At 52.9% G+C, this 27,662-nt stretch overlaps 1 protein-coding gene across 1 annotated transcript in view, besides 2 other annotated features; it reads right to left on the bottom strand.

Moving 5' to 3' along the window:
* Positions 1 to 27,662, bottom strand: part of ST14 (ST14 transmembrane serine protease matriptase) — a 50,581-nt gene that overhangs the window by 3,997 nt on the left and 18,922 nt on the right. Inside the window, exons 2-16 of the mRNA NM_021978.4 lie at positions 18,093 to 18,252; positions 17,709 to 17,836; positions 17,427 to 17,497; positions 16,470 to 16,627; positions 16,218 to 16,253; positions 15,672 to 15,912; positions 12,078 to 12,217; positions 11,629 to 11,726; positions 9,918 to 10,027; positions 9,666 to 9,796; positions 8,421 to 8,525; positions 7,948 to 8,058; positions 7,745 to 7,858; positions 7,297 to 7,419; positions 6,229 to 6,415 (exon numbers count right to left, since the gene is read on the bottom strand). Of these exons, the coding sequence (NP_068813.1) occupies positions 6,229 to 6,415; positions 7,297 to 7,419; positions 7,745 to 7,858; positions 7,948 to 8,058; positions 8,421 to 8,525; positions 9,666 to 9,796; positions 9,918 to 10,027; positions 11,629 to 11,726; positions 12,078 to 12,217; positions 15,672 to 15,912; positions 16,218 to 16,253; positions 16,470 to 16,627; positions 17,427 to 17,497; positions 17,709 to 17,836; positions 18,093 to 18,252 (1,913 nt within the window). The remainder of the gene's footprint in view (positions 1 to 6,228; positions 6,416 to 7,296; positions 7,420 to 7,744; positions 7,859 to 7,947; positions 8,059 to 8,420; positions 8,526 to 9,665; positions 9,797 to 9,917; positions 10,028 to 11,628; positions 11,727 to 12,077; positions 12,218 to 15,671; positions 15,913 to 16,217; positions 16,254 to 16,469; positions 16,628 to 17,426; positions 17,498 to 17,708; positions 17,837 to 18,092; positions 18,253 to 27,662) is intronic.
* Positions 7,759 to 8,260: an enhancer, noted in NCBI's record as "H3K4me1 hESC enhancer chr11:130068001-130068502 (GRCh37/hg19 assembly coordinates)". NCBI's record gives its function as "activates a minimal SCP1, AML or CMV promoter by ChIP-STARR-seq in primed H9 embryonic stem cells {active_cell/tissue: H9 hESC(primed)}" and the evidence as "EXISTENCE:reporter gene assay evidence [ECO:0000049][PMID:30033119]".
* Positions 25,529 to 25,588: an enhancer, noted in NCBI's record as "active region_5752". NCBI's record gives its function as "activates an Ori minimal core promoter by ATAC-STARR-seq in GM12878 lymphoblastoid cells {active_cell/tissue: GM12878}" and the evidence as "EXISTENCE:reporter gene assay evidence [ECO:0000049][PMID:35858748]".

The following is a 27,662-nucleotide window of genomic DNA, read 5'->3' as shown; positions in this document are numbered from 1 at the left end:
CACGACCAAGGGGGAAGCCCCTTTATGATGGCGAAACCTGTTGGGCGTCCCGAGCCAGGTGCTCAGCCTCCTCTCCCGACCAGCCCCCTTCACGGGGGATCCTGCTCTCCCCGAGTAGGGTACAGCACCGCCCGCGCACTGCTTCCTAACTCAGCCATGAAAACACAGTCGGGAAAACCCAAATTGAGAGGCATCCTGTAAGATAACTGGCCCGAACTTTTCAAAAATGTCAATGCCATAAAAAACCAAAAAATAAAAGGCGTAGAGAAACTGTTCTTGATTAAAATGAGGTTAAAGAAACCTAATGACTAAATACAAGGCGTGACCCTTGACTGCATCCTAGGACTTTTTTTAAAAAGCTCCGAAGAAGGCTGGGCATGGTGGCTCACGCCTGTAATCCTAGCACTTTGGGAGCCCCAGGCGAGAGGATCACAAGGTTGGGAGTTTGAGACCAGCCTGGCCAACGTGGTGAAACCCCGTCTCTACTAAAAATACAAAAATTAGCCAGGCGTGGTGGCAGGTGCCTGTAATTCCAGCTACTCAGGAGACTGAGGCAAGAGAATCACCTGAACCTGGGAGGTGGAGGTTGCAGTGAGCTTAGATTGTGCCACTGCACTCCAGACTGGGCGAAAGAGTGCGTCTCAAAAAAAAAAACAAAAAAAAAAACGTCTAAAGAAGAACATGATGGGCATGATTGGAGGACATTTATGACGCGTACGTCAGCTCGCAGCACAAAGCAATGCCGCCATTTCTCAGTGTGGGACAGCATCCGTGTTTTTGGAGACACAGGCCGAGGCACCTGGTGGGAAGCCTCACAATGGCTGCCCCCAGTTGGGAAATGGTTCTGAAAAATACATGCGGGTGCAAACAGAGAGAAAGCAAACGTGATTAACTCAATCACTGAATGTAGATCAAAGGTATAAGAGTGTTCACTGTACAGCCAGGTGCGGTGGCTCACACCTGTAATCCCAGCACTTTGGGAGGCCAAGGCATGGGGGGATCACGAGGTCACGAGTTCGAGACCAGGCAGGCCACCATGGTGAAACCCCATCTCCACTAAAAATACAAAAATTTAGCCGGGCAAGGTGGCGCACACCTGTAGTCCCAGCTACTCCGGAGGCTGAGGCAGGAGAATTGCTTGAAGCCGGGAGGCAGAGGTTGCAGTGAGCTGAGATCACGCTGCTGCACTCCAGCCTGGGGACAGAGTGAGACTCTGTCTCAAAAAAAAAAGTGTTCACTGTACTAGTCCTTTTTTTCATTCATTGTATTTACAACATTTTTGTAGGTTTGAAAAATTTCAAAATAAAACATTGGAAAAATACATATTTAAAATAGAAAATGTGCGTGACAAGAGAAAGGCATGAAGACCCGCTTCATTTTCCCTCACCTCTCAGGAAGGTCAAAAGGTTACTGAACCACCCAGCCAGGGCACCTCCCCGACCCCGGAGCACTAAACCCAGCCTCTGCCTCCACATCACTCGCGTGCCCACCCGAGCCCTGGTCCACTCTCACTGCCCCAGCGTCCATCACCTTCTGGCCTTTCTTTTTTCTTGAGATGGAGTCTTACTCTGTTGCCTAGGCTGGAGTGTAGTGGCATGATCTTGGCTCACCACAACCTCCGCCTCCCAGACTCAAGCGATCCTCCCACCTCAGCCGCCCCCAAGTAGCTGGGAGTGCAGGTGCATGCCACCATGCTCAGCTAATTTTTGTATTTTTAGTAGAAATGGGGTTTCACCATGTTGGTCAGGCTGGTCTCGAACTCCTGACCTCAGGTGATCTGCCTGCTTCGGCTTCCCAAAGTGCTGGGATTATAGGCATGAGCCACCGCGCCAGGCCCCCTTCTGGCCTTTCTTACAGCCACCTCCCCACGGAATCGCACGCCAAGGCCAAAGCTCAGTTTTCCAACCTAGGCTATGCCCAATCTCGCTTCACTGTAATCTGTTGCCACCAGAAAATGACTTCCCAAAAGCTGTTTTTGTGAGATCCTTTGCGTCCCATTCCACAGCCTAAAAGAATTCCCAAGAGTTGCCAGGTGAGGTCTTGTGACCCACCCAGGCCTTCTGCGTTCACTGTTAATCGACCTGACCTTTCTAACAGTTTCCCAGCCTGCTCACATCCAGCCACGTACTCAACCCCCATCAACTCATTCACTCAACAATCTCTGGGCATCTGTGATGCGATCTATGACCCAGCCTTCAGGTTCACAGTGTACATGTGGAGAGATATGAAAACCACCAATTACAGCGTGACAAGAAGGGTCCCACAGAGGACTGGGTAGAAAGCTGTGGGAGAGGATGGGCTGGGAGTCCGGAAACGAAGTGAGTTATGAACCAAGCCTCGACATCACGTAGGCCTGGCCACCTATGGCCTGAAGGGGTGGAGAATGCCGCATGTTTAAAGAGAACAAAGGTGGCCGGGCGTGGTGGCTCACACCTTATAATCCCAGCACTTTGGGAGGCCAAGGCAGGCAGATCACCCGTGGTCAGGAGTTCAAGACCAGCCTGGCTAACATGGTGAAACCCCGTTTCTACTAAAAGTACAAAAAATTAGCCGGGCACGGTGGCGCATGCCTGTAATTCCAGCTACTCGGGAGGGTGAGGCAGGAGAATTGCTTGAACCCGGGAGGCGGAGGTTGCAGTGAGCTGAGATCGCGCCATTGCACTCCAGCCTGGGCAACAAAAGTGAAACTCGGTCTCAAAAAAAAAGAAAAAAGAGCAAAGGCACATTTAGGAAACCCTCACACTGAGCATGGGGAAGGCATGAGGACTGCACTGGAGACTGAGACTGCACGGACGGGCAGGGGCCAGATAACGTGGCCGTGTCGGTCGTGAAGGAGTTCCTGCTTTATACTGCAAGCCGTGGCAGGCGCTGAAGCAAGAGATTGGGGTGATCAGATTTGGGGAAGGCCCCTCTGGGCTCGAGTGGTGCAGACCAGAGTCCTGAGAGGGAAGGAAGTAGATGGGGAGGGTGCTGCAGCTGCCCAGGCTACAGTGAGCTAGGACGAGCAAGGTGGTGGCAGTGCAGATAGAAGAGAGTAGAGATGTTTCAGGAACACCCAGGAGGCGAGCATGTAGCTGAAAGGGTCTCATGGGACGGGGGAGAGGGGAGAGCCATCCTTGTCCCTCTAGCTCAATTCCCCGTGACCCCAACACTCAGCATGGACACCCCCATCCAGCTCTTTGCCCTGTGCCTGCGGGTTTCCACCTCCCTCCTCCAAGCCCGCCCTGTTCACCTGGCGACCTCAGCTCAAGACCCCGCTTTCATGAAGCCCTGTCTGCAAACCCAGCCAATCGGTAAGTCTGACAGTATTTGATTCTATCAGCAGACTCAGCCTCTAACGTTTAAGGCATGCACGTCTACCAGCAGCTGAGAGACTGATTGTGAAGATGCAGCCACTGATATCCCCCATGGTGACCCCAGGGGCTGGAGTGCAGTTGGGAATCGCTAGTGCTCAGGTAGAACTTCTGATGTCCCAAGCACAATTCTCGATGCTGACACAGTAAGTTGTTTTATCCCTGAAACAGTCCTGTGAGGTAGGGTCGCGCTTTTTAAGATGAGGACTCAAGCACAGAGAGGGCAACTTGCCGAAGATCATATAGCTAACACGCTGTAGACCACAACTGCAACCTAGGCAGCCTGTGCATTTAACCGCAACGTGATGCCGCCTCCCGGCAGTGCCCAATGAATGCATGATGACTTAGCCATGTGCTCAGGGTCCCTTGACACCATGCCCCTGCACATCTCACACCTCCCTGCCTCTGCACACGACACTCCCTTTGTCTGGAAGGTCTGAGCCACCTGGTCCAGCTGACAGACACCCTCACCTTCAACCCTCAGTTCAGACACCCATGTTGAGTGTTCCCAACAGTCACCCCCCGAGTCCCTCAGGCATATGGGTTTAGAATTCTAAACTCCACATGCTGGGCCCAAGGGAGCCTGGACACAGCCCTGCCACAGCACTTACTGCACATGTGTGTCATGTCTTGTCCCTACCCTTACAAGTCTGTGACCCACAATCTGCAGGGACCAAGTCCTATTCATGTTGGTCTCTCTAGTGTCAATAGTAACCAGGGGTGTTGAAGATTAATTGCACTACTCGTTGGCAGAAGCATGACTGATGATCAACACACGATGAAGGAGAAGGAAATGAGAAAGAAAGCAACGAAGCAAAGGAAAAGAGGAAGCAGTGCAGGATGGCAGGGCAGTTCTTAGTATGCACCCAGCCATTTCCTAGCTCTACCTGCTAACTGGGCCTGGACATGACACCATGGTGACAATGAACACACTAAGCAACCGGACCTTGGTCTCTAAATACCATTCCCAGTAAAGGACTCCTTGGAGAAATGGCTGGTCCTAGGGCTGGGCTGGGGAAACATAAGATGAGCCTATTGTACCTGGTAGTGCCAGAAAGCAAGGACATGGCTCAAAAAAGGAAAGAATGGGGCATATCAAAGAGGCACAAAAGCCAACCTCAAAGAGAAGTGGTTGGGCCAGGCATGGTGGCTCACATCTGTAATGCCAGCACTTTGGGAGGCCAAGATGGGAGGATCACTTCAGCCTAGGAGGTGGAGGCCAAGCTTAGCAACTTAGCAAGGCTCTGTCTCTACAAAAATTTTAAACTAGCTGGGCATGGTGGCATGTGCCTGTAGTCCCAGCTACTCAGGAGGCTGAAGCAGGAGGATTGCTCAAGCCCAGGAGTTCAAGACTGTAGCAAGCTATGATTTGCACCACTGAACTTCAGCCTGGGTGACACAGTGAGACAAGGGACAGCCTCAGGCTGGACAAAGCCACGTGTCAAGCACCCAGCGAAGCTGGGGACCATGGAACTGGGTCCACTCCCCACAGGCTCTTGCTGTCCATCTCCATCACCCAAGCCCTGTGCATGGGTCTGAGCACACTCCATCTGTGCCTCAGGCCTCCCTCCTGCTGTGGGCCCATCTCTCCTCCCTGCAAAGGGCAGCTGAGGGCTTGGGTCACCTGCTCCTGGAGCTGCCTACCATGGAAAAGCGTGCAGCCAGCAGAAAGCGCATCCCCTTCTTCCGAGGTTGGATTCTCCTGGAAGGCCCATGCCCCTGTGCCTGCCTCTTCAGGGCAAGCCAGGCCCTAACACTCCTTCCTTCAGCCAACAGCCAGACGCCCAGAGAGGCCAGGAGCTAAGACACAAATAGCGCAGCCCGGCATTGTGCCCCTGTTCCTGGGATGCCCATGTGACCCTTCCAGGCCTCTCATCTGTCTGTGTGTCTGAGGCCATGACATGCTGAGCACCTACTATGTGCCAGGCACAGCGCAAAGTGTCTCAAGTACAGCATTGTATTTAATTCTCACAACTCTAAGGGTGGGAGCTGATACTGTCACTATCATTGGTGAAGAACCCAAGGCCTAGGAAGTTTGAATAACCTGCCCAGGGCCACCGGCAAGCCAGAGCTGGAGCATGAATCCAAAGCTCACGTTGGCCAATCCGAGGAGTTGCACAGTGCAGACTCACCGGAGACCACACCTGTGCTCAAGTCTGGCTCTGCCACTTAACAGCTGTGCCACCCCAAGCAAACGTCCCTACTTCTCTGAACCTTACTTTCTGTAGTGAGGATACAATCAAGCTGCCTAACTTGCTAGGGGGTTTTAGGAGAGGCACAGAGACAGCACTTGGCTGCAAGTGGGCACCGAATACAGTGAGTTTTTATTATTACTGTTATTGAGCCCCGTCCTGGGATATCTGCTCATTTGGTTTGGATGCTTGTCCCCTCCAAATCTCATGTTGAAATGGGATCCCCAGTGTTGGAGGTGGGGCGTGGTAGGAGGTGTTTTGGTCACGGTTCCCTCATGAATGTTTTGGTGCCCTTCCCATGGTGATGGGTGAGTTCTGAGTTCACACGAGGCTGGCTGCTTAAGAGTCTAGGACCTCCTCCTGCTCTCTCTTGCTCCTGTTCTCGCCATGTGATGTGCCTTCTCCCCCTTCACCTTCTGCCATGGATGGAAGCTCCCTGAGGCCCTCACCAGAAGCAGAGGCTGGCACCACGCTTCCTATACAGCCTGCAGAACCATGGGCCAAATAAACTCTTTTCTTTATAAATGACCCAGTCTCAGGTATTTCTTTAGAGCAACTCAAGAATGGACTAACACATGTGGCCACCCCTCCAGTGCCCTGCCTCGGTGCCAACCTATCCTGGCATTACTCCCAGATGCAAAGGGCCAGCAAGGAGGCTCCCTGCTGCCCACCCAGAGACCCACCTGAATCCTCTGTCATCGATGTAGCAGTGTGCGGCAGAGACCAGCCAGTTGGGAGAGATGAGGGAAGCACCGCAGATGTGGCCCTGGCCCAGAGCATGCAGGCTTACCTGCCAGGGCCACTCGCCCTCATCCGCATCCGTGCCCCCAACAACACGAGCCTGTCTCGTGAATGACCGCAGCCCACAGTCTGCAGAGGGAGCAGAGAACCAGAGGACAGCAAGTCAAGGTGGGGACATCAAACCACAAGGGGACATGCAGTGTGTGCCAGGAGACCCTGTGTGGGGAAGCCAGCTTTTGGCGTGCACAGCACTGCTGGCGTGGCCAGGGCGTGAGGGACCCCCAAAACTATCTTTGAGCTTCACAGACTCCCTTCCACCATGCCCCTCCTTCTCCCCGCTCCCAAATTCAAACCCTCATCTTCCCACCTCCCCCTCCCTCACAAATGCAGCGAGGGCCTCCGGAGGCTGGCTGGTCAGCTTCACTTTGATTTGGGTGTCATCTGCCTGACTTGACATCATTTGGGACATCACAGGGGAGGGGGCAGCATGGAGCAGGGAGAAGCGCCTTTGAATGCTGAAGGCCACAGCTCTGAGAGGGACGAATGAACCGCTGATGTGAGGTCACAGAACGCTGGAGCTGTGCTCAAATCTAACCTGTGGCCAGCCAACGCTTCTGAAACACAGAGGCTGCAGATTAAAGTATGGGCAGGCAGGGGTGACACCCTGCCTTGGGCTTGGGTGAGCTGGGCCGCTCTTCTCCAGGCTACTGCTCCACAGCTGTGTCTACACAGCAGGGGCCAGCAACGCACTGCAGCCACGACCCCGCCATGCTACAGAGGCGCTGAGATGCTGGCCGTACGGGCCTTTCTCCAAGACCAGAGCCAGCCCGTGGGGTGGTGCCTTCATGCCAACTGGCAAGGCTATCCTTTCCTCCAGGAGACACACCCTCTCACCCAAGCACAGAGCTGCTAAGTGAGGTGCTGGCGGGATTGCACCTCCAGGTGCACCCTCTGGTGGGCACTTCACACAGTGAACAACCTGCACAACCGTACTCGGATGCCCTGCTCACCGCAGTCCTTCTCATCTGAGCCGTCGCTACAGTCCTCCTTCCCGTCACACTCAGGGTTGCCCTTGCTCAAGCAGAGCCCATTGAGGCAGCGGTAGGTGTGTTTGGTACAAGTGACGACGTTCACTGTTCAAGGAGGAGGACAAGGGAGGGGCTCAATTCCTCTGCAGCATCCGACCAGAAGCCAGAAACCACCAATGGCGCCTCATGGCCCCTGCACATTACCCCCTCACCCAGGCCTGCCCCACCCACGCCCACTGGCCTCCCTGCCCTGCTACAGGTTCTCCACCTTCTGGAAAATTCTCCCCCAACCAGAGCCCTTTCTCATCACACTTAACACACAGGTGGTTTGTGTTCATTAAACTCGGGGCGTCCTGCATGTGCGTGTGCTCAGGGCAGCCTCCTCCAGGGGCGAGGCCCCCAACAGGAAGATGGGTGGGGCGGGCCTCACCCTTGGGGCAGGAGGCCTCGTCGGACCCGTCCCCACAGTCGTCCTTCCCATTGCACTGCTGGCTTTTCGAGAGGCACTTCCCATTGGAACACCTGAAGGTCTGGGCCGGACAACCTGGAGAGGCACCAGGACTCAGCCACCAGGAGCCACCGTCAGTCGCCCCGCCCACCTGCCCGCCCAGGCAGCCCCTCCCCAGCACTCACTGCACCCCTGCTCGTCGCTGTTGTCTCCGCAGTCGTTCACACTGTCGCAGACCCAGAAGAGGGGCTTGCAGAACTTGTTCTTGCACGTGAACTGGTGGCCGGCGTCGCAACCTGGAGTGGGGTAAGGGGAGGTCGGCCGTGAGGCCCTCATCACTCACTGCTTCCCCAGGATGCCCAGGCGATCAGAGCTACCTGGGGACCGCTTTCTGATCTACAGAGAGGCCCAAGGGGCCCTGCTCCACCAGCTACCAAGCTGACCTCAGCACTTCCGAGATACCCCACCACCTGCCCCACAGGCCAAGATCTCCATATGGCAGGGTGGGGAGTGGGGCCAGAGGTCTCTACACAGGGCCGAGAGCAAAAACTCCCACCACCTCCGGCCTTTCTGCCTCGGCAGTCAGCCAGCAGGGCCATGGGACGCGGGCAGGGTGGGGAAGGAGGGTGGGGAGACCGGGGCTCCCAGCCTGACTCACTGCAGTTGAGCTCATCGCTGTGGTCGGTGCAGTCGGCCCAGCCATCACAGCGCAGCTCCTTCCGGATACACCGCCCCGTGCGGCACGTGAACTGCCCCGGGCATGCTGCGGGCACAGGCAGGCCTGAGGCCCCCAGCACCCACCCACCTCCCTCCGCTGGCTCCCGGCTCCCTCCCTCGGGCCAACCTCCCAGCCACAAACACACAGGAGCAGGGCAGGTGCTGTGGCCCAGGGCAGGGGTTACCCAGGCCCACCAAGCTGTGACAAAGGGGTTCCTGCACCCGCAGCTAGTGTGGGAAGAGGGCTGGCCACAGACCCCAACCTGGGCTGGCAGGGTCCCTCCCCACCACTGAGGATCGAAGCCCAGGAAGCCCCAGGTGCCCTGCAGAGAGGCCAGCTGGTCGCAGGCCCTGCCCTGCCCTGCCCTGTGTGCTGGGCTGCCTGGTGCCCCTGAGGGCCAGGCCCCGCCTGTGACGCTCAGCTGGTCCCCGATGCATGTGATGTGTCCTATCCAAATGTAGTGCGGCATCGCGCACTTCCTTCACCCTAAACATTTTCCATATTTCAATGTTTCTGAAATCCGGAGGCATCTGACCACTTTGCAGATGACAAAGCTGTAAGGAGACCATTGTCACCGCCTCGGCACAGGGACACTTCGGTCACAGGTAAGTGTTTAGATCAAAGGCGTTGGTTCATCCAAGTGTACTTTTGGTGGTGAGCCAGGCCCTTGAATTTTACCTTAAAGTTGGATTCCTAAGCATAGTTAAATGTCTTCCCAAGGTTATTCTATGACGCAGGGTTGAAATAAAAACACATTGCATATGTGGAAAAACCACTGCTCATACAGCCAATGGCACTTCCTCATGTGTCTCAGAATTACACTGTGAATCCTAACGGTGCTAACAGGCCACAGAGGCAAGCACAGATGATCAAAGTCACGGTGAAGGTGGGCCTGAGGGACAGATGGCCGGGGAAGCTCAGATGAGGGGCGTCTCCAGCCGCAGGTACCTCATGCTGGGACTGCAACCCAGAAGGACACAGTGTGTGCCAGCGCTCACAGCCAGCCTGCTTTCATTAATGCATCAAAGGTAGCGTGTTTTCCTCCCAAAGCTACGGGAGGGGTGAGATGCTCTTACATTCTCCAGCATTTTAGAATCAGCAAAGCACGATGCTAACGAGATGCAGGGTAGACAGAACATGCGGTGCAGGCCCCCGCCAGCCCTCCTCCCAACAATGTTCACTCACGGTCACTGGAGTCGTAGGAGAGGTATTCAGCTAAGAAGCCGGTGTCGGTGTAGGACTGATCTGAGTGGAAGCGAACTGTGATCTTGTTGCTGTTGCTGGTGACGACGAACTGGGACCTCTCTCCGCAGTATCTGGAGGGGGGGCGGGGCACAAGGTGAGGAGGGACAGCTGGGAGCCGGGGGGCTGGGGGTCTGGTGGGACCCCTCCCCCTGCAGCATGGGCCCGGCAGCCCCCATACCCCCGGGGACTCACTTCTCCCCGTTGATCTCCACGTAGTCCTTGGGGCAGGTGCCCGCAGGCACGCCGGGCTCCAGCAGGTAGAAGAATTTGAAGCGCACCTTCACATGCTGGTTGTTGGGCACCTGAGGGAAGAGAGGCTGCTGGGAATGTGCAGTTCCCCTCCCTCCTCCCTGAACCTGAGGACGTCAAAGGGAGGCAGCGGCATGGACCAGGGAGAGATGGTATGCCTTCCATCACCAAGACAGGTTGCAAAGTTCTCCCAGCGTGTTTGTTTGTTTGTTTGTTTGTTTGTTTGTTTTTTGAGATGGAGTCTTGCTCTGTCGCCCAGGCTGGAGTGCAGTGGCAAGATCTCAGCTCACCGCAACCTCCGCCTCCCGGGTTCACGCCATTCTTCTGCCTCATCCTCCTGAGCAGCTGGGATTACAGTCACAAGCCACAACACCCAGATAATTTTTTTTGTATTTTTAGTAGAGATGGGGTTTCACCATGTTGGTCAGGCTGGTCTCAAACTCCTGACCTCAGGTGATCTGCCCGCCTCGGCCTCCCAAAGTGCTGGGATTACAGGCACGAGCCACCACACCCAGCCTCTTTTCTTTTTTTTTTTTTTTGAGACAAAGTCTCACTCTGTCACCCAGACTGGAGTACAGTGGCAAGATCTCAGCTCACCACAACCTCCGACTCCCGGGTTCAAGCTACTTTCCTGCCTCAGTCTCCCGAGCAGCTGGGATTACAGGTGCCCGCCATCACACCCGGCTAATTTTTGTATTTTTAGTAGAGACAGGGTTTCACAATGTTGCCCAGGCTGGTCTCGAACTCCTGACCTCGTGATCCACCTGCCTTGGCCTCCCAAAGTTCTGGGATTACAGGCGTGAGCCACTGCGCCCGGCCCTCCTGGCATTTTTAAAGAAAGGAAAGGGAGGCAGCTCTGGCTGGGATGGCGTGAGCGGCACGGACAGGCGACTCTCTTGTCTCACACACCTTCTTTGATTTCTTCCTGACGGCGCCTCTGAGACCCAGGCACTATCACCCTCACTTCACCTAGGGGCAAGCTGAGGCCCAGGGAGCTTCAGCAACTGCCCAGGTCGTTCCATCACCTGACAAGGAGCTAAGATAAGAGTCTGGGTCTGCCTGACACTGCAGGAAGACCTGACCCCACCCTGGGCCCTAAGACACATGGTCTCTTTGGGGTTTGTTTATTTGTTTTTGTTGTTTTTTGAGACAGGGTCTCACTGTTGCCCAGGCTGGAGTGCGATGGCACTGTCATAGTTTACTGTAGCCTTAAACTCCTGGGTTTAAGTGATCCTCCCACCTCGGCCTCCTGAGTAGCTGGGACTACAGGCATGTATCACCTGCCTGGCTAATTTTTGTAGTGTTTTGTAGAGATGAGGTCTCACTATGTTACACAGGCTGGTCTTGAATTCCTGGCCTCAAGTGATCCTCCTGCCTTGGTCTCCCAAAGTGCTGAGATTACAGGTGTGAGTCACGACATCTGGCTGCCTCTTTGGGGTTGATAAAGGATCTCCTCTTCCTTTTCTTCTGTCTTCCTCATTTGCCATCCACCTCTGTCTCACACACACACATACGCACACACACACACACACACACACATGCACACATATGCAAACACATGCACACACATCCACACACATCTGCACAGGGAGACACACACACGTGCACATACATGCTCACACACACACACGTTCACACGCCCCATAGCTCCTACCTCAATGTTCCATGTGCAGTCAATGTTGGGTGGGTAGTGGCCTGGGTAGTAGGGGCTGTTGAATGTCCCCTGGGCTTTACGTAAGCGGCCTCCACAGCCTGAGAGGGAAGGTGGGAGAAAGCAAGAGGATCAGGAACCTGCCCGGCCGAGCAGGCGGACGAGGGCTCTGCAGCCTGAGGCCTGGAGCTGCCTCCTGGACGCGTGGATGCTGCACAGCAGGTGCACAGCCAGGAAGGCCAGGTGCCGGGTGCCGAAGCTTCAGGAGGGCTCCTGACCCAGGCGGTCGGCCAGATGCCTTTGGCTCAAGCTTCAGCCTCTGCTGCTGACCTAGGCCAGCTCGCCAACCACAGGGTCTAGCCTGTGGCCTCCTAAGCTCAGGTCACCCCCACTAAGGCCTTCCCCTTCTCTGTGGCCCGAGGGCAGTCCCGCCCTGCCCTGCCCTTCCTTACTGCTCATCCTAGGCAGCTGGAAGAAGGTGGCCTCAAAGCCGGGATGCCGCCGCTCAGTGTTGGTTATCAGTGTGATGAGCAGGACGTTCTGGGAGGAGTGGAAGGTCAGGTTGTAGGAGGGAGGGTAGGTGCCACACAACCTGTGGGGGCAGAGGGCGGGCATTAGGAAGAGCAGACAGAACCCAAGCTTCTCACACACCCAAACCAGGCTCTCAGGCAGAGGTGCCTGAGGACCCCACCCCTAACTCTGGTCCCATCCACAGAGGCCAAGAATGGAGTCAAAAAGACCTTCATTCAAGTAAGTCCCTCCCCCACACAATCACTGATGGAAGGCGCTAGTGATAAACAGTTCACCTTTGTCACAATCACTGATGGAAGGCGCTAGTGATAAACAGTTCACCTTTGTCACAATCACTGATGGAAGGCGCTAGTGATAAACAGTTCACCTTTGTCACAATCACTGATGGAAGGCGCTAGTGATAAACAGTTCACCTTTGTCACAATCAAAGAGCAACACCCAGCCGGGCGCAGTGGCTCACGCCTATAAACCCAGCACTTTGGGAGGCCAAGGCGGGTGAATCACCTGAGGTCAGGAGTTCGAGACCGGCCTGGCCAACATGGTGAAATCCCATCTCTACTAAAGATACAAAAATTAGCTGGGCATCACGGTGCACGCCTGTAATCCCAGCTACTCCAGAGGCTGAGGCAGGAGAATCACCGGAACCCGGGAGGCGGAGGTTGCAGTGAGCCGAGATCGCACCACCGCACTCCAGCCTGGGCGACACAGCGAGACTGTCAGAAAAAAAAAAAAAGAGCAACACCCTAGACACAATACATGCCCACAACAGAGGATTTATTAAATAAACTGTGGGCTCAATCAGAACAACAGCAGTAGTAACAATCAACATTTATTAAGAACATGCCAAGGTCGGGCCTATAATCCCAGCCTGTTGGGAGGTCAAGGCAGGAGAATTGCTTGAGGCCAGGAGTTTCAGACCAGCCTGGGTAACGCCTCATCTCCATAATCAAAAAAACTAGCTGGGCATGGTGGCGCTTGCCTGCAGTCCCAGCTACTCCGGGGCAAGGCCAGAGAACTGCTTGAGCCTCAGGAGTTCAAGGTTACAGTGAGCTATGATTGCGCCACTGCACTCCAGCCTGGGTGACAAGGAGACTCAAAAAAAAAAACATGCCTGGCATGGTTCTCGGTGCTTTTAAATCTATTAACTCATAATCTTCCTAACAGCTCTATGAAGTAGATACTATTACCCCTATCTCAGAGGTGAGGAAACTGAGACACAGAGATGTTCAGTAACTTGCCCAACATCTCATGGTTAATAAGTGGCAGGCTTAGAATTTAAACTCAGGCATTCAAGCTCCAGAGTCCACACTGCTCACAACCATGTCATCCTGATTGTGTCCCCTCCTTCTAAACAATGCAACCTTATAAAAACCCTGAGAGAGAGGGTGACTGATTTGGAAAGACCATCATAATATACTTCATTTGTTAAAGCAGGTAATGAGACTGAATGCACGGGATAATCCTATTTCTTAACACACACACAGCAAAAAAGGCTGGGAAAATAGACATCAAAAATTTGGCCGGGTGCTGTGGCTCACGCCTGTAATCCCAGTACTTTGGGAGGCCAAGGCAGGCAGATTGCCTGAGGTCAGGAGTTCGAGACCAGCCTGACCAACATGGTAAAACCCCATCTCTACTAAAAATACAAAAAAAATTAGCTGAGTGTTGTGGCGCATGCCTGTAATCCCAGCTGCTCGAGAGGATGAAGCAGGAGAATCGCATGAACCCAGGAGGCGGAGGTTGCGGTGAGCCGAGATCTTGCCACTGCACTCCAGCCTGGGCGACAGAGCGAGATTCCATCTCAAAGAAAAAGAATTAACAGTGGTTATTTCTAGACAGTAAGATGACGAGTGACTTTAGTCTTCCTTTTGCTTGCCGATTTCCTTCTCCCACTGGGAACATGTACTTCTTTGTTGTACAATTAATAAATTAGAGAGATGGAAAAGAAGTCCTGGTTACGAAGCTGTGGCGGCAGATGGTTCTAGGTTGTTCTTGGCCTGAATTTTAGCCCATTATTAATCAGGAAACGTCCGCCGAGCTCATTTCCCTAGACAGCCACGGAAGGCTCTGGCCCAGCGAGTGCAGGAGAGGCGGCTCACCCACCACGCACAGCACCTCTGCGAGGTACGCCCCACCCTGACGTGGGGTATCCCACAGGTGCATTAACCACGCCTTTCCGTTTTCTGTAATGCAGGTGCTTTGACATCTGAGGCCCTGCTGACTGTGGAAGGCTGGCCAATGCTTAGAGATAGGAAAGGACTCACCTGCAAGCAAACCTTCCCTATGCAAACCCACCTATGGGGGCCCAGCCCCACCTCCTCCGAAAGGATCTCACACTCAGGGCCACTATTCTTTGCCCTAACCACCCCAGGCCCAAGTATCAGAGAACTAGGGACAGCTCCTATGCCCCGGAGCCTACTGAAATTATTCAAACAAGCCAGTTCTAAACCTCTCACCCTGATTTGTCTTGCCTTTTCTGTGTAAACCATATAAAGGCTCTTTTTTTTTTTTTTTTTTTTTGAGACAGAGTCTCGCTCTGTTGCCCAGGCTGGAGTGTAGTGGTACGATCTCGGCTCACTGCAACCTCTGCCTCCCAGGTTCAAGTGATTCTCCCGCCTTGGCCTCCCGAGTAGCTGGGATTACAGGCGCCCGCCACCACACCCAGCTGATTTTTGTATTTTTAGTAGAGACAGGGTTTCACCAGGTTGGCTTGACTGGTCTCAAACTCCTGACCGCAAGTGATCCAGCCGCCTTGGCCTCCCAAAGTGCTGGGCTTACAGGCGTGAGCCACCATGCCCGGCCCATAAAAGGCTCTTGCTTACATTTTCCCCTCATTCCTGTTACCCCTTGACCAACCTGGTGTTTCCTCATGTGGCCTGAGGCAGGTTCTTTCTCTGTTGCCCAGGCTGGAGTGCAGTGGTGCAATCACCGCTCACTGCAGCCTCGACCTCCTGGGCTGGAGATCCTCCTGCATCAGCCTCCTGAGTAGGCATGCGCCACCACACCCAGCTAAGCTTTTTATTTTTTATAGAGGCAGAGTCTTGTTGCCCAGGCTAGTCTCAAACTCCTGGCCTCAAGAGATCCTCCCGCCTCAGCCTCCCAAAGCGCTGAGATTACAGGCATGAGCTACCGTGCCCGCCAACAAAATTGTCTTTTCAAGAGCAGTCATCTCCTGATCTGTTGGCCTTCATATCCCTGAATAATAAAGCCTACATTTTACAACCGTGGGCAGTGCCTTCTCTCCGGCGGTTCAGGGCACAGGCCGCACAGGCTGGATTTGGTATCTGGGGACTATAGAGCCTTCCTCTGCTTTGCCAAGGCTGAGAAAAATCACCTCCCAGACTCCCCTGGAGCTGCAGCTGAGGATCACACCACACGTGCCTCCTGCTGCCTGGATGTTTAGCAGTGGCCTGCGGCCAAGAGTCATAAACTGTATCCCAATCGTTGAAGAAGCTGGCCCCCTACAGGGCAGCCGCCAAGCTCCCACAGCCCTACCCGCCCCCCGGGGTACTCACTGCACCAGGGCGTGGGGCTCCATGGGGCTCAGGGTGTTGTACACCGTCACCAGGTCGCTGCCGCGCTCGTCGCAGGACGCAAGGTCAAAGCTGCGGAAGGTGAGGCTCAGCACTGAGTCGGCGTCCCCCCGCAGGGCCCACTGGCAGCGGGCATGAGCGGGGTAGGGGCTGTCAGGGAAGCCGGGCGTGGTGAAGCGCATCAGCTCCACACCGCGGGCGTGCAGGCCAAAGCTGCAGCTGTCTGCGCAGGAGACAAGAAGGAGGGCACGTGTGGGGGCAGGGCTGGGCAGAGCTGGGGGAGGACCCTGAGACCCCGTGGGTGTGGACCTCAGGCCTCGCCCCTTCGAGACGCCCCAGGCTGCCCTGGGCCTCGGGAAATCAGGAAGGGGGCTTCTCAGAAGGGCCTGGAAGAGGAAGGGCCTGGAAAGATCGTCATAATATACTTCATTCAGAGGGACATGCTTCTGGGGACCCCACTGGCTCAAGGGCATCTGGCCACATCCCGCCTCTTCCCCACCCAGAAGAGGAGGCGGGCACGATACTTACTGTCCTGGGTCCTCTGTACTGTTTTGGAGTCCGTGGCTGAAGAATAAGAAGGAGAATAAAGCATTTCCTGATACAATCCATTTCCTTATTCCTGCTTCCTTATTATCTAAAGGGAGGTGCCCGGCCAGCACGTAGTCTTCTCTCTGGGGCACTGGGCCCTGGGAGTGCCGGTCCCCTGCAATGGTCCAGGGCCCAGCCCCACTCCATGGAAGGCTGGCCAGTCCCACGCCCACCCCTGGCCCTCGGACTCACGGAAAGCCACCACTGAGGTGACCACAAAGGACTTCAGGGAGCGCGCCCGCGGGGGCAGCATGACTACGCGCTCCTCGGCCATGACGCGCTCGGCCTCCTCCACCAGGTGCTGCGGGATGCTGAACTCAGACCAGTAGTAGGCGATGACGCTGCCCTCGCTGGGGAGAGAGCGGGAGCCTGAGGCGGAGCTCTGGGCCCCATTTCCCCCACGTGCGCCCAGAGCGACTCCAGGACACATGGGCGGCTCGGGGCACACCTGGGCCTGCCATCTGCAGAGGCCCTTCCCCAGCTCCTCTTGTGTCATCCCTCTTTCCACCCCAAAGCAAGAGGCCTTGCCCTTTGCCCTCTGCTCTCACAGTCTCATCCCCAACCAGACCGATTCTGGGGGCTGCTCAGGGGTAGGAATGAGGAGGGGAAACCCATTGGAGTTTGGCCACAAGCGAGGACACACCGAGTGTCACCTTCCTGAGCCTGTTTTCTGACCTGAGAAAGGAACTGGGAATGCCACCTGCCACACAGCATTCCCCAGGGTTCAAACGAACTAGCAAAATAAAAAGCACTTTGAGAATAAAGTCTATTTTTTTACAAAAGTATGCGTGAAAAACTGCTCAAGCACAGAAAATGTGGGGGCTCATTGAAGGCTGCCTGAGTACCCCAACTCCCCCATACCCAAATTTGGAAAAACAACAAAGAATCACAGCCGTTCCTGGCATCATGCCAAGCACGTCACAGGCCTTTGGGCAGCTCATCACAGCAACAGCTACAGGCACCTTTGCCATGGGGGCAGAAGAGTCAGGCTGCCAAGTAACGCACAGGAGGACACAGCGAGGACCCTCCTTGGCTCTCCAGGCCAGGACCTCCAGCACCATCTCCCGCTTCCTGCCCCACACACTGTACCCCGATCCTACTCCCAGCCAGTCTGGGGTGCATCCCACTGAGCCTTCTCTCCACACCCACCTGAAGGCCGTCACAGCCGACTCCTTGTGGTAGGGGCCCAGGAATGGGACTCCGCTGTACAGCAGCTTCAGCTGAGGAAGGGCAGAGACTCAAGGTGAGCCCCATGCGGCGATGACCCTGCCCCAAGCCCGGGCTGCTCCCTCCCCTCCAGGGCCCGGGTCCCCTTTGCAGATCACCCCCATCCCAGGGCCCTGGGAGCACAGGCGAGGCATGTCCCTCCTGCCCAGCAGGTGGGACACCAGCGCACACAGCCCAGCAGGACTCTGGGCAGGCTGCACTCACCGCGTCCTTCACCTTGCTGGCCAGGCTTACAAACTCAGTGGAGTTGGAGTTCTCGTAGGCATCCACAAAATTCTCATTTGTGATCCTCATGTAGCCATTGAAGACCTTCTGGACACGCACGTCCCGGTCTGTGTGAGACCAGAAGGCGCTCAGTCAGGGGAGGTGGTACCACCCCCGCCTGTCCCTCGCCGTCCACAATGGGGAATGAATGCCAGGAGGGGGCCATGGGTCAGCCCTGACTGCTTCCCATCACTCCCCATCAGGGTTCCAGAGAGGCCAAGAGATCCTCGTGTACTCAGTAGGTGGCCCTGGGTCTGTCCGCTGAGGGAAGAGGGACAGCCACCCCTTGTCGTCCTCCCCGGAGCCAGCCCCAGCTTTACTCACACTGCAAATGCCACACCAGGAAGCCGATCCCCAGCAAGACCAAGAGGAGGCCGATCAGCACGGCTGCCAGCACCACCCAGCGCCCCGGGCCATGCTTTTCCACCTTCTTGACGTTGTTGACTGGCAGGAACTCCACGCCTTCCTCCAAGCCATTCACTTTCTGCAGGGAGAGAGGCGCCACCACTCAGACCCTCTCACCCGCTCTTCCCCTGCACCCCGCTGGGGAAGATGTTCACATTTTGTGAGGTCCAGCTTGGAGAAGAAAGCAGGGGCTTGGGTGAGAAGAAGGGGGCTTCCCCCAGAGGCATGGGGACCACTGCCCAGAGCGCAGACCCCGGGACATGAACCCTGGGCATGCTCTGGGAGGAACATGAGGTCGGCCTTCCCAACCACGCATCTCAGGGTCTGGACAGCACCAGGCGATCATTGCTTACGAATTGTTCATTTAAATTAAAACGCAATGAAGGGCTGTCGAACCCGGTCATCCAGGTCTCCCCTTCAGTGAATCACCTTTGACGTAGGTGGGTGCCCCGGAGAGTGGCCCCAGCCCAGGCCCATGACTGGCAACTGGTACCCCTGTGCAGACTTCTAGGAGCAGGCCCTGCTCCCTCGGACACAGCCCCTACCAGATTCAATCCCCCCATCACCTGGCCCAGGAGCCTGTGGCCAGCACTCAACTGCACACCCTACCCAGCGGCCTTGCCCTGCCAATGGTGAACCAGCCAAAAGTAAAAAGGTGGTGCTGTCATGGAAAAAACTGCTCTGTGTTTAACCTTGGGAGCCCCAGTCCAGGACCTCAAGGCACAGTGAGAGGCCCACTGTGGGAATCCACACCCACGCGCAGCCCCAACAGAGGGAAAAGCAAGCAAACCAAACGCCCAAAAGACAGGATGGCAACTTCCCCGGGTTCCTCCCTGCCAAGGGTATCCATGATGAGGGGCCAGAATACGGAGGGGCAGGTGGGGTGTCTGCTGCACCCAGTGACGGACCGGCGAAGGCTTCTGCCGATAGCACATGCCGTCTGCCCGCCCTGAATCCTGGGGATGCACCATGGCCTGGCACTGTGGCACTCTCAGTTTAACTACCTCACGCCCACTCAATACGGCTCACAACAAAAGCAACAGCCCATCCCACACCCACAGGTGTTGGCCCTTTTGACAGTTTCCTGATGTCATTCTTCTGGTGGTGATCTCGTAATTCGACAGTGTAAATTTAAGCTGATATGTCTTGGTTTGTCACATTTACCCATTATCAACTCACTGCATGAAAGATTCTCCTCACTCCTGCCTTACTGGGATAGGATACTTGTAACTCCAATTTTAGTTTCCTAATTGGCCATATTTGTGACTTGATCTAATATCACACACAGAAACACACCCCAGACGGCCACTTAAAATGTGTTCAAAATGCTTGTTCTGGAGTCTGTCTCTATATTTCTAAATAATATGCCAACGCCATAATCTCTTGATTCATCTATCTAGACATCGGCTGACTTTCTATTATGACAATGTGGATTTTAGTGTCCTTCCACCCTTTCTCTCCCCATCCTCCCAATAGTTACAGGCCCAGAGTTTAAAAAAAATTATATCCATACTCTAGGTTTTCATTATTAGCCTGTGAAAATATTGTTCACTATTATATTTCCTTTCTTTGTATATGTCTTTGTTTTTCCTGCTGTGAATTTTCATTGACTGGGGTTTCTTTTTAACTTGTACCCAAATCTTTACATACAATCTGAGAGCTCTGCAATACTCTTCTCAATCTTCTACATGTAACATCTGTTAAATAACTTATTTCATGTTCTTCCTGAGGGCCACAGTCCTGGAGCCGCCTGTCCTTTCTCATAGCAGTTGTCTGGAACTTCCTTCACCATTGCCCTGGGATTTTCCTTAATCTCCTTCTGCGTTAAAACTCCTATTTCCTGGATCATTTTCTTCATCTTTCTTGGTTTACACTTCATTGTGGTGGAACACATACTTTTTAAAAATTTTTTTCTAACCACAAAGACCCAGAAGAGATGAACATATACTTTCTGAGAAGAATATTTTTTGATACTTTGCATGTTTCTGAAAATACCTTAATTCTACACTCACACATTTATGGAACTTTGGCTGGGTATAGAACTATAGGTTTCAAATAATTTTCACTTAGAATTTTGAGGGCTCAAGCTGGGTGCAGTGGCTCACGCCTATAATCCCAGCACTTTGGGAGGCCGAGGCAGGTGGATCATCTGAGGTCGGGAGTTCGAGACCAGCCCAGCCAACATGGTGATACCCTGTCTCTACTAACAATACAAAAATTAGCCAGGCGCGGTGGCACGTGCATGTAATCCCAGCTACTTGGGAGGCCGAGGCAGGAGAATCGCTTGAATTCAGGAGGCAGAGGTTGCAGTGAGCTGAGATTGCGCCACTGAACTCCGGCCTGGGTGACAGGGTAAAACTCTGTCTCAAAAACAAAAAAAAAAGAAAGAATTTTGAGGGTTCCACTGTTTTTTAGCTTCTAATTTGCTTTTGAGAAATATGATAATGTTATAAACTCATTATCTTTTACTTATGACTTCATTGTCTTTCTTTGAAAGCCTTGAGAATGTGCTTTGAATTGGGTCTTTTTGTTTTCTTGAGACAGGGTCTTGCTGTGTTGCCCAGGCTGGAGTGCAGTGGTCTGATCATAGCTCACTGTAATCTTGAACTCCTGAGCTCAGGCAATCCTCCCACATCAGCCTCCTGAGTAGGTAGGACTATAGCTGTACACCACCGTGTCCAGTTAATTTTTTTCTAATTTTTTGTAGAGGCAAGGTCTTACTATGTTGCCCAGGCTTATCTCGAACTCCTGGCTTCAAGCTATCCTTCCATCTCAGCCTCCCAAAGTGATTTTCCTGTCTTATTTTTTAGATTATGTCTCCCTTTCATTTCCTCTGGTCTACCATTCCTTAATCCTTATTATATTTATCCTCTATTTATCCTTTCTCTGTATTATCCATCTCATTATTTTTAACCTTTCAATTGAGTTTTTCATTTTTGGTATCAAAATTTTAATTTCTAAGAGCTTTCTGTTTCTTTGAATTTTCCTCTTTCATGGCATCTTGTATTTGTTCCATGAATGCAAAACCTTCTCATCTTTATATTTCCATTGAGTATCTTTTCTCTGTTTTTGACTTTTTCTTCCATGTTGAAGACTTTCCTCAAATGCTGGGGGATCCTTGGTGGTTATTTTTATTTAGAAACAAGCTCCTGGCGGCTGTTTGGAAGCTCTGTGTGCATGCCTTGCCACAACTGGCTTCACTGGCGGGGACACAAGTGAGTGGCTAAACAGATTTTTTTTCTGGGCACTCCCAATGGTTAGACTATATACATCTTCCTGTGGATGGTTCCATTGCTCCAGAGAATAATTTTCTAATCTCCTGGCTGGAGTGATTTAAACCCAGCCACTAGCATTCAGGAACACGTAGGAGAAGAGACTCATTCCCCTTCTTTTCACCTCTCTCTACAGCCTTCCTCTGTACCTGGGGTTCTCAAGCCCACATATTCTTTGATTCAATCTCTCCAGACTATTTTTCCCATCCACTGTGGGAGTCTGCTGGGGCCTTTGTCTTTTTGCTTGGGGCCAAGGTGGAGATTTGGGTATTTCTAACAATGTCCTTTCTTGTCTCACCTCTGTCTTCTAGAATACTTGAGCCCAATCTTTTCTGAGCCTGGCAGAGAAGAGACCATTACCAAAGAAATACTGAAAGGATGTTTCCAAGAGCTGAAGAGAGTTGTAAATCTTCCAATTCAAAGGGCTCAGTGAATGGTGAGAAAGACAAATGAAACAGCACATATAGCCAAACAGATTGTATTGTGATGACATTTCAGAAGATCACGGATAAGAATGGATCCTCTACGCCTCTAGCTGTCATCTTTTCTCTCCCGTATTTTGCGTTTCTTCAGCGTTTGGTTCTACTTTGGGAATTTCTTTGACTTGCTCTTGCAAACCTTCCATTAAATTTAAAAAGCAGCTTCATTGAGGTATTATTGCATAAAATAAAGTGTATATATTTAAGTGTACAATTTTGGGCATCCATATGCACCCATGAAACCATCCACAGCTAAGATGATGCCCGTGTCCGTCTCCTTCAAAATCTCCTCCTGGCCCCTCCCACATGTTCCTCCCTGAATCCATTTCCTGTCCCCAAGAAACCACTCATCTGCTTCAGGCTGCTTTTCCCAGAGCTTTATGTAAATGGAATTCTGCAGTATGCACTCTTCCATCTGGCTTCTTTCACTCCGCACGATTCCTCTGAGACTCACGCAGGTTCCTGTGTGCCCAGCAGTGCATACCTTTTGGTTGTTGCTGCATTTATCCCATCGTTTGGACACACAACATGTGTTTACCTGTTCACCTATTGATGGACATTTGGGGTGTCTCCAATTTCAGGCCATTACAAACAGAGCTGCTAGAAACACTCCCGTAGCTGTCTTTGTACTGGCATATCAGCAATGAAAAACTGGAAACTAAAACTAAAAGACACCATTTACAATAGCTTCAAAAATATGAAATACTTAGAGGTAAATCTGACAAAAAATGCACAAAACCTGTACACTGAAAGATGTAAAATACTGCTGGGAGAAATTCTAAAAGACCTAAATTAGTTGAGCAATATACGCTGTTCATGGATTAGATGATTCAATATTAAGGTGTCTATTCTCAAAATTAGCTATAGATGCAATGCAATCTTTTTTTTTTTTTTTTTTTAAGATACAGGGTCTTGCTATGTTGCCCAGGCTGGTCTTGAATTCTTGGCTCAAGCAATCCTCCTGCATCAGCCTCCTGAGTAGCTGGGACTACAGGGTGCACCACTGCACCCAGCTGCAACTAGACATTTTTATGTTATCTTTGGAACTTCGCCTTTCAGGCTGGGTTTTCTTTAGACATCTGGTGGCCTCTGGTAGTCTAATCATATTTAAGAATGAGAAAACACAGATTTCGGCTACACTCTGAACAGACCATGTATGTGTATATATGTATAAGAAATGTAGGCCGGGTGTGGTGGCTCACGCCTGTAATCCCAGCACTTTGGGAGGCCGAGGCAGGCAGATCACCTGAGGTCAGGAGGTCAAGACCAGCCTGGCCAATGTGGTGAAACCCCATCTCTACTAAAAATACAAAAAAAATTAGCCAGGCGTGGTCGTGGACGCCTGTAATCCCAGCTACTCGGGGGGCTGAGGCAGGAGAGTCGCTTGAACCCAGGAGGCAGAGGTTGCGGTGAGCCAAAATCGTGCCATTACACTCCAGCCTGGGCAACAAGAGCGAAACTCCATTTCAAAAAAAAAAAAAGTAACAAAAGTGGCTGGGCGCGGTGGCTCATGCCTGTAATCCCAGCATTTTTGGAGGCCAAGGTGGGTGGATCACCTAGGTCAGGAGTTCGAGACCAGCCTGGCCAACATGGGGAAACTCCATCTCTACAAAAAACATAAAAAATTAGCCAGGTGTGGTGGCGGACACCTGTTATCCCAGCTATTCGGGAGGCTGAAGTACAAGAGTTGCTTGAACCTGGGAGGCGGAGATTGCAGTGAGCCGAGATCACACCACTGCACTCCAGCCTGGGCAACAGAGTGAGACTCGGTCTCAAAAAAAAAAAAAAAGATATTTAACAAAAGGGCCAGGCATGGTGGCTCACACTTGCACTGTGAAAGGCCAAGGTGGACAGATCACTTGAGCCCAGGAGTTCGAGACCAGCATGGCCAACACGGCTAAACCCAATTCAAAGGGCTCAGTGAATGATAAGAAAGACAGAAATACAAAAAACTAGCCAGACATGGCAGCATGCACCTGTAGTCCTGGCTACTCGGGAGGTTGAGGCAGGAGGATGATCTGAACCCAGGGAGGCTGAGGCTGCAGTGAGCCATAGTCATGCCACTGCCCTCCTGCCTGGGCGAGACAGAGACAGCAAAACCTCATCTCAAAAAAAAAAAGGAAAGAAAGAAACAAAGAAAAAAAGAAATGTAATGAAATAATAATTTATCATGTTTAGATGTATATCCAATTCACAGGGTAATTTCACAACCATTTTCTTACTGGATCTTCATGACAGTCCTGTGACTCATTCAAGACTGGCTGGTGCTATCACCCGTGTTATATAAAGAAGGCAGGGAAGAATGCTGATTTTGCAAGGTCACCCAGTACTTGGTGGCAGATCCAGAATCTGGTCCTGGTTTACTGCCTCCCAGTGTGGTTAGGTTCCAGAATTCTGGGAGCAAGGATTCAGGGAAACAGAAGACAGAGACTCCCATGAGAAGGGGTAAGGTGGCTGAGGGCATTGACTCAGGGGTCACCCCAGACTCTGCCACGGAGCGAGGCTGTCAGCAGTGGCGCTAGCTCAATGGTGGGTCCTCTGTCCTCCCTGCAGTGTGAGTTCTGTGGCTCCACCCAGCCTAAAAGTGCTGTCTAATCAGTAACTGGGCTGCTTCCTTTTATAACCTTAGCTCTTGGCTCCATTTTCAGGTGTAACAGAGATACTGTTGCATAATCCCATCGTTTTATTGATAAGAACACTGAGGATGAAAGAGAGGGAGTGGCCTGTCCAAGGTCACAAAGTTAATAAAGTCAGTGAAGCAGCAAAGCTCTTTTAACTCCTGGGTGGGGGAGGTGGGAGGGGGAGGTCTCAGGGAACTCCCATCCACTTAGACACTTAGACAACTGTAGGCATAACACCTCTCTACTGGGCCACAGCCGACAGGAGAGATCCTATGCCTGCGCCTGCTTTCACTTCTCCTGTCTCTCTTTCTTAAAAGTAAACATCTTTGCAGGTGCACACATAAAACGGTGCTATGAAGCCAGGTGTGTCTGCTTACCATAAACACAGATAGAGGCCATGTAAATATCACAGCCTCTTCCTGCTGGCCCACTGTAGTTAGATCCTGGCCAAAGGACCCAGAAACACAGCTCGGCTCCAGGCCACTCAGACAAGGGAACGAGGAATGACTTCCAGGCGGGAGGTTGGGGATAAAGGGCTCAGGACAAGCAGGGTACAGACCCTAAAGGGCCAGGATCTAACAGGGACCACCACTATCTCACCCAGCAGGGGCGAGATCAGACCACCATCCCACCCAGCAGGGACGAGATCAGATCACCACCATCCCACCCAGCAGGGACCACCGCCATCCCACCCAGCAGGGACAAAATCAGACCACCGCCATCCCATCCAGCAGGGACAAGATCAGACCACCACCATCTCACCCAAGAGGGACCACTGCCATCCCACCCAGCAGGGATGAGATCGGACCATTGCCATCTCACCCAACTTTCTGCAGGGAGCGAAGGGTCAGATCCAGAAACCCGGGAAGGGGAAGTGGAGAGGTCCTAGAGCACGCCCTATTTCATCTTATCTCATTGTCTGAGGCACACTAGAGCAACTGATGCATATCCTCCCCAAGGCCGGGCTCTCCAAAACGAAAAGAAAAAAAACACTGATTTCTAGAGGGCCAAAAAAGAGACCTATTTTATTTGATAATATAGGAAAGATTCTTGCAGCCAGCCTACTCCCATTAAGTCAGAGAAACTCACCAGGGCTGAAAGCTAAATGCTGAGCCAACAAAACTCTGTGTGAGTCAACCAGAGAATCCTCCCTCTGAGAGGAACGCTCTCCTGGTTCCTCAAACACACACTAAGACCTGCCACTGAGTGCAAACTCTCCAGGGCCCACGACCCCACTGGCTCTGGGGACCAACAAGTCCAAAGCCAGAATTTGCCATGGGCTGCTCAGAGCATGGTTATCCTTAGAGAAAAGCAATGGGGAAGGGCCCCTACACTTACCAACAACAAAAATACTACCAACTGCACACAAAGCCACACAAGATTCCAACCAAAGCAGACAGGGAAAAATGAAGCTTCGGGCCAGACCCTTTCTAAAGATCGTTCCTCATGTGGCTAAGGTTGGGTGTGATCTGCTGGGAAGGAAGCGGCTGAACCTGGAAACCTCAAGAGGCCCCTTGGAATCCTGGGGAGGGACCGTGAAGGGCAGTCACATGACAATGGGTAGCCTGCTTCTGAGGCTGAAGATCAAGGTCAAGGGGCAGGGGCGATGCCACCAGCTAGGGACACAGCTGTGCTGCCCAGACCTGAGACAAGGACAGGGTGGCTGGATTTGTGTGCTGCTGCCAAGTGCCACTGATTTGTGGCCAAGGCTCTTGACTGACACGCTCGGTGACTCCAAGGTGGGACGGATTTCAATCCCATGATGTCATCACCCCCACCAGGGTCATGAGAACCATAAACTATCCCTGTAATTGTTCAAGCGAGAAAGGAAAGTAGAGCCCGAGCACCTGCAAGGGTTTCCCCGGGGAAGAAAGCATTCTGTGGCAGGTCGAAGATGCCTTCCTTTGCAAGGGAAAGACCGAGCCAGCACAACCTCGTGGCCGCTCCCTGCCGGACTGGCTAAAGGTTGTGCTGGATCCTGGCCAGATTTCCCGGAAACCCAGCACGGCTCAAGCCCACCTGAGATGACAGCAGGGAATGACTGCCAAGAACAAACTCTGTGTTTGTCCCCTGGGCAATGCTGAGCTGAGAATGATACCAGAGGCATGTTGCAGGAAGGCCTCTTCATCAGGCTGCTGTTCATAAAAGGGACCTGTCTCCGGCTAGGAGGGACCCCACATAGACAGGCCCTCCCCAGTTAAATCAGCAGCCCCGGGGAAGCTCCAGCAGCTGTGCACAGAGCAGGCGGTCAGCAGGCTCCTGAGGGCGGGACTTCACCCCACCTGCCACCATGGCAGTCCAGGGCCCAGCACGGGGCCTCATAAAAGAGGACACTTGAGTGCTTATCTGGGGATGACCGATGGGCAAATGAGAAAGGAAAAGAAAGGCCACACTGGAATCCTCCCACCCACTCCCCAACCAGGGGTAATCGATCTCTCTAGAAGCCAATTTTCACGAAACCTGCAAAAGCCTATGGTTCCCATTGATCGCAACCCCCAGCATTTCCTGGACTTGTCTGGTCATGAAAAAGAACAATAACAATCAACTGAAACAAATGCAGTGTTTGTTCCACATCCAGATTCCCAAGCCCCTCTCCCTGGAGGTGCTGATGTCATGCATCAGGAGCAGGGCCTCGGATGTGGAAGTTTTTATTCAAGTGCTCCAGGTCATTCTTGGGAACCTGAAAGTTGGAGAAACTCCACCCACCATTTCCAGGAGGCTCACCCCTTCCTGTCACCAGGAGGAGAAGCTGGCTTAGAGTCTCAGCTGGTCTATTTTGAGCAACCACCTGGGATGAAGGGAAGCTGCTGTGCCAGGTCGAACTTTGCTTCCACGCCCTGGGGACCCTCCCACAATTGGTTATAAGCATCATCCCAGAAGTCCCTGAGGCTATCACTTTTCCCAGAAATACACACTCCAGCTCCTCCTGGGAGAGCACAGGGCCAGCTGCAGACCCAGCCAGCTGCTGGCAGACACCCCAAAACCCCGGCCCGCCCACCTTTCCCTTTGACCCGTCGCCGCCCTCAGCCGCCCCGCCAGAAGGAGCTGCTGGAAAACAGGTGGGGCTGCAGGGCCCCAAGGAAGATCCAGAAATATCTGTAGATCTGTAACCCCAGC

The sequence above is a fragment of the Homo sapiens genome, chromosome 11, assembly GCF_000001405.40.
Source record: "Homo sapiens chromosome 11, GRCh38.p14 Primary Assembly".
Taxonomy (NCBI): Eukaryota; Metazoa; Chordata; class Mammalia; order Primates; family Hominidae; genus Homo; species Homo sapiens.
The sequence above is the reverse complement of the archived record's forward strand: the minus strand, read 5'-3'. Positions and strand labels throughout refer to the sequence as shown.